The 12148-nt window shown below is 35.3% G+C and overlaps 1 long non-coding RNA gene across 2 annotated transcripts in view; it reads left to right on the forward strand.

Moving 5' to 3' along the window:
- LINC02699 (long intergenic non-protein coding RNA 2699) overlaps positions 1 to 12148 on the forward strand; it is a 470852-nt gene that overhangs the window by 157659 nt on the left and 301045 nt on the right. For both annotated transcript variants that reach the window (NR_183694.1, NR_183693.1), the window contains one exon: positions 1045 to 1176. This is a non-coding gene — a long non-coding RNA (long intergenic non-protein coding RNA 2699). The remainder of the gene's footprint in view (positions 1 to 1044; positions 1177 to 12148) is intronic.

Raw genomic sequence — 12148 nt, forward strand, 5'->3', positions numbered from 1 at the left:
GGACTTCTAAACTTTTCTACATTTTCCTGTCATCTTCTTCTGAGTCCTCCTAACTGTTCCAACCTCTGCTTGTTACGCAGTTCCAAAGTCACTTCCACATTTTGGGGTATCTTTTCAGCAGTGCCACACTCTACTGTATTAGTCCATTTTCATGCTGCTGATAAAGACATACCACAAACTGGGCAATTTACACAAGAAAGAGATTTATTGGACTCACAGTTTCGAGTGGCCGGGGAGACCTCACAATCATAGTGGAAGATGGAAGGCATGTCTCACATGGTGGCAGACAAGAGAAGAGAGCTTGTGCAGGGAAACTTTCCTTTTTAAAATCATCAGATCTCATGAGACTCATTGACTAACACAAGAACAGTGCAGGAAAGACCTGCCAACATAATCAAATCACCCTCCACCAGGTTCCTCCCATGACACTGGGAATTGTGGGAGTTACAATTCAAGATGATTTGGGTGGCAACACAGACAAACCATATCATTGGGTTAATTAAAAAGCCTTGTTTTCAAGCTCTGAAGTTCTTTCTTCTACTTGTTAGATTTTATTTTCTGAGACTTTCCTGTGCATTTTGCATTTCTTTAAGTGTGTCCTTCATTTCCAAAAGTTGTGATTGTTTTTTATCTATGCTATCTATTTCACTGGAGATTTTTCCTTTTATATCTTGTATTATTTTTATTTTATTTCAAGTTGGACTTCACATTTCTCTTTTGCCTCCTTGAGTGGTTTTATAATCTACCCTCTGAATTCTTTTTCTGATGTTTCAGAGATTTTGGCTTGGTTTGGATCCATTGCTGGTGAGCTAGTGTGATATTTTGAGGGTGTTAAAGAACCTTGTTTTGTCATATTACCAGAACTGTTTTCCAGGTTCCTTCTCATTTGAGTAGACTATGTCAGAGGGAGGGTCTGGGACTCAAGTGCTGCTGTTCAGATTCTTTTGTCCCACGAGGGTGCTCCTGTGATGTGGTACTCTCCTGTTTCCCCTAGGGATGGGAATTCCTGAGAGCTGAACTGCAGTGATTATTATCTCTTTACAGGATCTATCCACCCAGTGTAACTACCGGGCTCTTGGCTTTTACTGGGGAGTGTCTTTAAAGAGTACTGTGATGTGATCCATCTTCAGATCTCTCAGCTGTGGACACTGGAACCTACTCTTGTGGAGGAAGCAGGTGAGTGAAGTGGACTCTCTGAGGGTCCTTGCTTGCATTTTTTTAAGTGTGCTGGTTTTGTATTGGTTGACCTGGAACCCGGAGGTGATGCTTTCAAGAGTGCATCAGCTGTGATCATATAGGGAGGATACAAGTTTGCCCTAGAGTTACCTTTGGATAAGTATTCAGGTATTTCAGGCAGTGGCATGGCCATAGAGCTCCCAAAAGATTATGTCCTTTGTCTTCAGCTACCAGGGTGGGTAGAGAAGGACCATCTGGTGGGGGTAAAGTTAGGTGTGTCTGAGCTCAGACTCTCACTGGGCAGGACTTGCTGAAGCTGCTCTTGGGGTTGGGGGTGTGGTTCTCAGGCCAATGGAATTATGTACCCAGGGAATTCTGGCTGTCTCGGCTGTGTCACACAGGTTACCAAGAATGTAGGGGAAAGCTGGCAGCCACAGGCCTCACCAAGGTACAGTGCAGCATGCAGCCCAAAATGCTGATCTCTCATTGTGCCCCTGCAACAGCACCAAGTTTATTGCCAGGCAGCCAGTGAACAGGGCTGAGAACTTGTTCCAGGCTACAAGCTTCCTAGCAGAGAAAGCAGCTGACTCACAGTTCTTTGGCTGTCCCAGGGTGCCTGCAGTGGCAACTCACCACCTTCAAAGTGTCTTTGGATTCTCTCGGCTTTCCTGATATGTTCCTGTGGTAGTTTTTGGAGATAAAGTTCATGATGTCGGTCTCCATGCCCTGCTCTATCCCTCCAAGTTGGAGCTGAAAGACAGTCCTGTCCCCTATCTTGCATTTTTTCCCTTTTATATATAGAAAATTTAACCAAGAAATGGTTTAGGATGTTGGCTTATGTACAAATGTAGTTTTTGTCCAGCAGAGCCCAAAACCATAACTTTGAAGGTTATCTGTTGTACCAGAAAGAAATTATTTGCATCTCTACTTGACAAAAATTAGCAAGTATATATTTATTTTTGCAGAATTTTAAAATAGTCCAATCAATATAAATTATATCAAAATTGCAAGCCTGGAATTGCATTGGAAAAACAACAACAAAAAACACCCAGTAATCTCTTTGCCTATTTTTAAGTTACAGATAATTTTCCTGACAGGAGGAGGTAATTTTGTGGATCTTAAAGTTTATCTTCATCTAATTCAGTGTAAATTGTGAAGTAATGGGCCAATATCAATTGTGAAAGAGATGACACAGAGACCATTTGCAATGAGCCAGCTGTTCCTTAGATCATTAAAGGACCGAAATTTGGATGATTTCTTGAATGTAACATAGGAGTTGCTTCAGGCCCTTCTGTGTCCACAAGAAAGATTAAGTACAGCTAGGTAAAAATCAGAGGAGAAATTCTGTTTTCTATTCTTTAAGAAAAAGCTAGACTGCACAAGTGATTCTCATTTTACCATTAGAAACTACTTTCTGAGAAGCCAAATAAATTGGCAACTTGGAGTTGAAACTAACTTAAATATTTACAAAGGGATGGAGAAGTAAAGAAAATAAAATGAAAAATCAGATAATGTAACTCGTTGTTATTACAATTCAAGAGGCTCCCCAACACTTAAAATTCAAACTGCTCCCCAAGGCTGACATAAAACCCTGCAGGATCTTGCTTCTGGATCTTTTTCTGGCCTCATCTCCTCTCATTTACTGCTCTCATTGCCCTTCAGCCACAGTGGCTGAGTACACGCTTTAAAAATACGCTACCGCAATTGCTCCTAAGACAGTTTCACTCTGAACCACACATTTCTTTTTTTTTTTTTTAAGTGTGGTAGAAAACACATAACATGATATGTACCCTTTTAACAAATGTTTAAGTGTATAGTACAGTATTGTTAACTATAGTCACAGTGTTGTTTGACACATCTTCAGAATTTTTTGTTTTACATAATTTACTAAAGCATGATTGATATAAAAAAGTCAATATTTCATTTAAACAGAAAGAATCAATAATAAGTATTTGAGGTAATGGATATATTAATTAGCTTAATTCGATAATTCCACAGTATGTACATATATTATAGCACCACTTTCTGCCCCATAAATACAGTCATAATTTGTCAATATCCAATTTTTTAAAGCTGTACATTTTTAATGTATACAACTTGATGAGTTTGGAGATAAGTATACACCTGTGAAATCATGACTACAATCTATGCCATAAAGCTCTCCATCATCTGTAAAAGTTTCCACCTGTCCTATTTATTATTATTATTACTGATAAGAATGGTTAACATAAGGTCTCCCATCTTAGCAAATTTTTAAGTATACAATACAATATTGTTAACTATACCTCAATATTAACCAAAGGGTGCAAAGTTTCAGTTATACAAGACAGATAAGTCCTAGAGACCTACAACTTTTTCTTCTTGCATGATTGATACTCAGTAATCATTGAACCAGCAGCTCCTCATTTCCCCTTCCCCTCATCTTGTAATCACCATTCTACTTTGTTGACTACTTAAGTTACTCATGTAAGGGAAATCATGAAGTGTTTTTGAAACTGGCTTATTTCACTTAACATAATTTCCTCAAGTTTCAGCTATGCTTTCTTTCATAAATGGCAGAATTTTCTTTTTTTCTGGAGCCTAATAATATTCCATTGTATATATCTACCACATTTTCTTCATTCATTTATCCATCGGTGGACATTTAAGTTGTTTCCATATCTTGACTATCCTGCACAGTGCTGCAATGAACATGAGGCTGCAGATATTTTGTTGAGATTCTGACTTCAATTCTTTGGATAAATACCCAGAAGTGAGGTGGATGGATCATACAGTAATTCTAGAAAACCTCAATACTGTTTTTCCTAACAGCTGCATTATTTTGCATTCCTACCAACATTGCACAAGGGTTACAATGGCTCACATTCCTATCAACAGTTGTTATTTTCTGGGCTTTTTAGAGAATCGTCATTCTAACAGATGTGAGGCAATATTTCATTTTTTGACTTACATTTCCATAATGATTCATGACAGTTGGACTTTTTTTTATACCTGTGGGTTATTTTAATGTCTTTTGGGGGGAAATATCTATCCAAGTCCTTTACCCTTTATTTATTTATTTATGTATTTAATTTACTACTAACCTATAGGAATTTTTTGTATATTTTGCATATTAACTTCTTATCAGATATATAATATGGCATGTCCTTTTGCTTCACTTCCTTCATTTGTATAGAAGGGGTAGTGTTATTACTTACTGCATGGTGTTATTGAAGGTTTGAATTGATTAATATTCACAATATGCTTAGAAATGTGTTTGCTCAACCATCAATAGTACACAACATTAACAGGATAAAGAACAAAAATCACATAGAGAAAAAGCATTTAACACAATTTAACAGCTTTTCATGATAAAAAACACAAATTAATGATAGAAGGAAATTATCTCAACATAATAAAAGTCATATATGAAAAGCTCATATCTTATATCATACTCAGTGGTGAGAATGAGAAGCTTTTCCTATAAGATCAAGGAGCTTCTGTCTGTTGCTTTTACACTTGCAGATCTTCCTGCCAGTAATGCTTCTCCTGTGGAGAATTACATAACTTATTTCCACAGTTTATTCAAGCCATGACTCCTTTGTCACCTTAGGGAGGCTTTCCTACTCAGCCTCATATAAATGCAAACCACCTACATGCCTGTCTCGCTCACTCCTTTTGAATTCTGTGATTATTCTTCTAAGTTAGTAAAGTGTAGATTCAGATTCAGACAAAAACAGTTTATAGAACAAACCCTCAAGTGGCACTTAGTATGTGCGAGGTATTGTTCTAAGTGGTTTCCACATAGCAAATTACTTAATCCTCACATCAACTCTATGATATAGTTTCTAATATCACATTTTCTGATGCTGAAACTGTGTCACAAAGAGGTTCAGGCACTTGGCCATTAAGCAGGGATTATTCTAATATCTAAATGCTAATATGAATCAATGCAGTTAATAATCAAACACAGTTTGACCCAAGAATCAAAGCTTTTGACCACTAGATTATATTTCATTTTTTAAAAAAAGGTACAGGTTGGCTTGATTTTGACCATTGAACATTAAAGACTTAAATGTTAGACCTAAAACCATAAAAACCCTAGAAGAAAACCTAGGCAATACCATTCAGGACATAGGCATGGGCAAGGACTTCATGTCTAAAACACCAAAAGCAATGGCAACAAAACCCAAAATTGACAAATGGGATCTAATTAAACTAAAGAGCTTCTGCACAGCAAAAGAAACTACCATCAGAGTGAACAGGCAACCTACAGAATGGGAGAAAATTTTTGCAATCTACTCAGCTGACAAAGGGCTAATATCCAGAATCTACAATGAACTCAAATAAATTTACAAGAAAAAAACAACCCCATCAACAAGTGGGCAAAGGATATGAACAGACACTTCTCAAAAGAAGACATTTATGCAGCAAACAGACACTTGAAAAAATGCTCATCATCACTGGCCATCAGAGAAATGCGAATCAAAACCACAATGAGATACCATCTCACACCAGTTAGAATGGCAATCATTAAAAAGTCAGGAAACAACAGGTGCTGGAGAGGATGTGGAGAAATAGGAACACTTTTACACTGTTGGTGGGACTGTAAACTACTTCAACCATTGTGGAAGACAGTGTGGCAATTCCTCAAGGATCTAGAACTAGAAATACCATTTGACCCAGCCATCCCATTACTGGGTATATACCCAAAGGATTATAAATCATGCTGCTATAAAGGCACATTCACAGATTTGTTTATTGCAGCACTATTCACAATAGCAAAGACTTGGAACCAACCCAAATGTCCAACAATGATAGACTGGATTAAGAAAATGTGGCATGTATACGCCATGGAATACTATGCAGCCATAAAAAATGATGAGTTCATTCCTTTGTTAGGGACATGGATGAAATTGGAAATCATCATTCTCAGTAAACTATCGCAAGGACAAAAAACCAAACACCACGTGTTCTCACTCATAGGTGGGAATTGAACAGTGAGAACACTTGGACATAGGAAGGGGAACATCACACACTGGGGCCTGTCATGGGGTAGGGGGGAGGGGAGAGGGAAAGCATTAGGAGATATACCTAATGTAAATGGCAAGTTAATGGGTGCAGCACACCAACATGGCACATGTATACATATGTAACAAACTTGCACATGTGCACATGTACCCTAGAAGTTACAGTATAATAAAAAGTGTACAGGTTGCCTTGATTTTGACCATTGTTGTATAAGTGAAAGCTTAATTAATAATGAATTTTAGTGAATCAGTTTAATCCATAGCCATTTTATTCATTGTAAATAATATTGATATTTTATTTTTTTCCTTTAAAAATTGCCATTTTGTAACACAGAGACTCATGCAGCCTGTGTATTAATCATGACATGTACATGTTAAACTTGTCTGAAACAGACGTTTGTCCCCGACCTCCTAGATAGCCACATATACTAAGATGCAACAAATGAGTATTTGGTCAAAAATAGTCTCAGTGATCCTGAGAGCTTGCTTTCTTTGAGGTGAGGTGGCATTTTTTTAGTATAGAGAGACAAAATATCAAAATTAATTATTAATCCATGAAATACCAACACCAACCTCTACCAGTCAACATTATTAATCTTTGAACTGTCAATATCCATCTGTCCTCCATATTAATGTTTGATTCAATTCTATTTTTAATTACAGCAGATACTATTATACAGAATTTAGTTGAAATGTGTAAACAAATAACATGAAAATAGCCATGAAAATTTCTAATCTTGAAATTGGTGGGGATCAACAGAAGAAAATCCAAGTTAAAGGACTTTAATGTTGAGTTGTGGAAGTGGCAGAAAACAATTTAAAAAAATGCAGTCTTCACTGAATAAAATAATTTAAAATAAAATCAATCAATATCATAATAAAAATATATGTTTTGGTGTACAATGAATAGTCATAAAGAAACCTGACATAGATTAAGTATTCCTTTTGCTTCAAAGACATGCAGAATATAACGATAAACTTTTTTCAGTGCCTTAAACACGTGGTAGGTGCTAAATAATGATAAAATGAATTAATAAAAGGTTAGTTAACAAAAGTGGTAATTTTCTCCTTTTGTCTTTCCTGAGGTCAATTATTGACTGTTAAACAGTAACTGAATATAAATCACCAGACTACAGTATTATAGATTTCATTTATTCTCTTTATTTCTGTTCATTTAAAAGAGATCCAATTACATAAACAGATTTTCAAGATGTAAAGCTAGTTATGGGAAATAAAGGAACTAAGAGCATACAGAATTTTCTGTTGTTTTATTACTTATAAAGAGGGATTAGGGACATGGGCTAAATGAAATACCAAACATGGACTAGATATTGAAAAAATAGACCTCCTTTGAATGAGGGCTAAACTGGGAAGATAATTTAGCTAGTCTTTCTTGACAGTGTTCCATTCACCCAGAGAATAGTTGTTGTTAAATATAGAAAGGCTTTAATTAAAAATCCTGTGGAAGAATCTTTTTTTTTTTTTTTTTGATTTCTTTCAGATCTCTCTCACAATCTTAAAATGATTAAGTTAATTAACTGGAGTAGCACACTCTTATGTGAATCATTGTTTCCAAAACTCAAACAGACACAATGAGTATTGCATTTCTTATTACTGGCAAAGTGTGAAAAGTGATACAGATCATCTTCATTTTGTAGGTTATGATTCAACATGCCCCAAATAATGTGTCCTCCAGGAAATATAATTTGATTGAACTTTGTGTATGGAAAGTAGAGTCCAACTCACCAACTCACTCAGTTTGTGTGGGGATGTGGTGGGGAAATAAGGAAATATCATTTCAGCAACAAAGAAGACTTATTTAAACATATAATTCATAGTTATGCTATGATCTTTTCCAATTATATCTAGTATTTATGAATCCTTGCTAAGAAATTGTGTTCTGTTATTATGAGCTTGGTAAAAATACAGATATGGATTTGAACAAGTGGTGTTTGGATTACATATAAGCAAAACATTTCATTTTGTGCTTCAGTTATGAATAGGTTGTTCATTAACTAAGAAGAATCACTCTCAGGGTCTTCAGGGCATATATTTCCTACCAATGGAAAAGGTTGTCAGAACATTTTGATAATAAAAGAGCAGATGATAAAACAATCCTAATAACCACTTATTCCCCTTATGCCTTTAAATCAACTTAGTTTAAGGAGGTGGATCAATGTCTGTTAGGACAGGGAACAATCAACATTGAATAAATTTTCCTGTATGAATAAATTTCGAGGAATATGTCTTGCCATATATGTATGAAAAAATATATATACATTTCTATTTATATATATATATTTTTTTTCCTTTTTACTTTTATTTCTGTGTACCTTTCTCATGCCTTTTGTCTTTTTCTCTTCTTCTTTATTCATTTCTGTGTTTCATACTTTCACACAATATGAGGCACTCTACTGAGCAAATTATGTAACTAGCGTGTGAATGCAGGTTAAAAAGTGGAGGCAGGTTTATGGATACAGGGCAAAAAGCTGGTCACCAAACTTTAGTAGACTTCAATTCATTGAGAGTTGACTTATGCCAGGTACTGTGCTGGAAAATAATAAAGGAAAGCCTGTGTTCTAGCTGAATATGTGTTTTACAGGATTCTCCATATTCTCATGTGCCTGTGTTCAATGAAATTTTCTTCCATGGGATACTGATAGCCATTTCCTAAGTTGTTATTCAGCCATCATTTATCCCGGAGGCCTTGTCTAGTTCCATCAGTCTATGTTAGATTACCCTACCATAAGCTTATTTGTAATTTATTTACTTGTTAATACCATATATCTTACTTTTGATCTACTCTTATATTATGTGAGAAAAAAATCTCTTCATATGCCTCTATGCTACCTGAGTCTGTATTTTCATAGGTGTCTCAGAGCAGATTGTTTTCCTACACTCAGAGTTTTGTGTGTGTGTGTGTGTGTGGTAAAGCTGCTTTTATTACTCTGTTAAAACTGTATATGGAAATTTTTAGCATAAGCAAATAAATTCATTTAATATAAGGAAGATATTTTCTTCTGTCATTAATACATAATCATGATTTCTAAATATTAACCACATTTACACTGTATTAAAATAATGCATAAAATATTTGTATGCAATTTTGAAATTGTGGGATTACCATTAAGAATAAATATAAATCTATGTTAATTCTGGGGGGCATTTTGTAGTATTTTACATTCAAAAGAACATTGACTATTATATAAAAATCTATGCTCCTACCAAAAGCCTAAAAAATAGTATAATAGAGCAATAAAGCCTACTCCTCTTCTCAGCTTGAACTATAATGAGAATTTTTGTTTTGCTTTGTTTCATATTCCTCTCTAGGATCATGGATTAAAACTTACTACTCTGAGCCATGGCCCTCAAATTGAGCAATTTTGTAAGCATCTAACCAAAAATTTGACATGTGTCAATAAAAGATTCTACTACAATACAAGTCCATTATACAACCATTCAACAGACTTCATGAATAGTTAAGAGTATTATAAATACTAGTTAAGATTAATCAAAATTAGGAAATACTGTACATTTAATGTGAACATAAATGCATTACTATAAAGTATTTTTGAAAGTGTAATGGTGAATTAAAATTTATATCATATTTACATATTTCTTTTATACAACATTTTCTTTTGTTTCATATTTGGTGAGCCTTTATTTTTCTTCTGCTTTGAGATAGTACTTCCTTCTTAAGTGTGTGAGTATAGGAAGCAAAATAGTAGTAAGCTATATTGATAGTATGTAAAATAAATATAGGAAAGGTTTACATTTTATTTGTTAGATTCCTGCCAAGTATTTTAAGTGCAGGGTATATAAAAATAATGTTTTAAGTTATGAAAAACACCTTGATATTGGCTCATTTAATTACACTGTAAATTCTTCTCTGAAGGCAAGTATGGTATTTTATATTTTCTTTTTTTTATTATTATACTTTAAGTTCTGGGGTACATGTGCAGAACGTGCAGGTTTGTTACATAGGTATACATGTGCCATGGTGGTTTGCTGTGCCCATCAACCCATCATCTACATTAGGTATTTCTCCTAATGATACCCCTCCCCTAACCCCCACCCCCAAACAGGCCCCGGTGTGTGATGTTCCCCTCCCTGTGTCCATGTATTCTCATTGTTCAGCTCCCACTTATGAGTGAGAACATGCAGTGTTTGATTTTCTGTTCTTGTGTTAGTTTGCTGAGAATGATGGTTTCCAGCTTCGGCCATGTCCCTGCAAAGGACATGAACTCATCCTTTTTTATGGCTACATAGTATTCCGTGGTGTATATGTGCCACATCTTCTTTATCGAGTCTATCATTGATGGGCATTTGGGTTGGTTCCAAGTCTTTGCTATTGTTAATAGTGCTGCAATAAACATACGTGTGCATGTGTCTTTATGGTAGAATGATTTATAATCCTTTGCCTATATACCCAGTGATGGAATTGTTGGATCAAAAGGTATTTCTGGACCTAGATCCTTGATAAATCGCCATACTGTCTTCCACAATGATTGAACTAATTTACACTCCCACAAACAGTGTAAAAGCGTTCCTATTTCTCCACATCCTCTCCTGCATCTGTTGTTTCCTGACTGTTTAATGATCACCATTCTAACTGGCATGAGATGGTATCTCATTGTGGTTTTGATTTGTGTTTCTCTAATGACCAGTGATGATGAGCATTTTTTCATATGTTTGTTGGCTGCATAAATGTCTTCTTTTGAGAAGTGTCTGTTCATATCCTTTGCCCACATTTTGATGGGGTTGTTTGTTTTTTCTTGTAAATTTGTTTAAGTTCTTTGTAGATTCTGGATATTGGCTCTTTGTCAGGTGGATAGATTTCACAATTTTTCTCCCATTCTGTTCACTCTGATGATAGTTTTTTTGTTGCTGTTGTTGTGCAGAAGCTCTTTAGTTTAATTAGATTCCATTTGTCAATTTTGTCTTTTGTTGCCATTGCTTTTGGTGTTTTAGTCATGAGGTATTTGCCCATGCCTATTGACAGAATGCTATTGCCTAGGTTTTCTTCTAGGGTTTTTATGGTTTTAGGTCTAACACTTAAGTCTTTAATCCATCATGAGTTAATTTTTTGTAAGGTGTATGTAAGGGGTCCAGTTTCAGTTTTCTGCATACGGCTAGCCAATTTTCCCAGCACCATTTATTAAATAGGGAATCTTTTCCCATTGCTTGTTTTTGTCAGGTTTGTCAAAAATCAGATGGTTGTAGATGTGTGGTGTTATTTCTGAGGCCTCTGTTCTGTTCCATTAGTCTATATATCTGTTTTGGTACCAGTACCATGCTCTTTTGGTTATTGTAGCCTTGTAGTATTAAAGTCAGGTAGCATGATGCCTCCAGCTTTGTTCTTTTTCCTTAGGATTGTGTTGGCTATGCATGCTCCTTTTTGGTTCCATATGAAATTTAAAGTTGTTTTTTCTAATTTTGTGAAGAAAGTCAATGGTAGCTTGATGGGGATAGCATTGAATCTACAAATTACTTTGGGCAGTATGGCCATTTTCACAATATTGATTCTTCCTATTAATGAGCATGAAATGTTTTTCCATTTATTTGTGTCCTCTCTTATTTCCTTTAGTAGTGGTTTGTAGTTCTCCTTGAAGAGGTCCTTCACATCCCTTGTAAGTTGTATCCCTAGGTATTTTATTCTCTTCCTAGCAATTGTGAATGGGAGTTCACTCATGATTAGGCTTCCTGTTTGTCTGTTATTGGTGTATAGGAATGCCTGTGATTTTTGCATATTGATTTTGTATCCTGAGGCTTTGCTGAAGTTGCCTGTATTACATTTTCTTTGAAAATATGTTTATTTGAGATTTTCCTCAAAATGTTTTCCTCTTTAACAAGTGTTTTAGTATGTTTGGACTACTATAACAAAATACCATAAAGTGAGTGGCTTATAAACAACAGAAATTTATCTCTGACAGTCTAGAGGCTAGGAAGTCCAAGATCAAGTT

Source organism: Homo sapiens, chromosome 11, assembly GCF_000001405.40.
Source record: "Homo sapiens chromosome 11, GRCh38.p14 Primary Assembly".
NCBI lineage: Eukaryota > Metazoa > Chordata > Mammalia > Primates > Hominidae > Homo > Homo sapiens.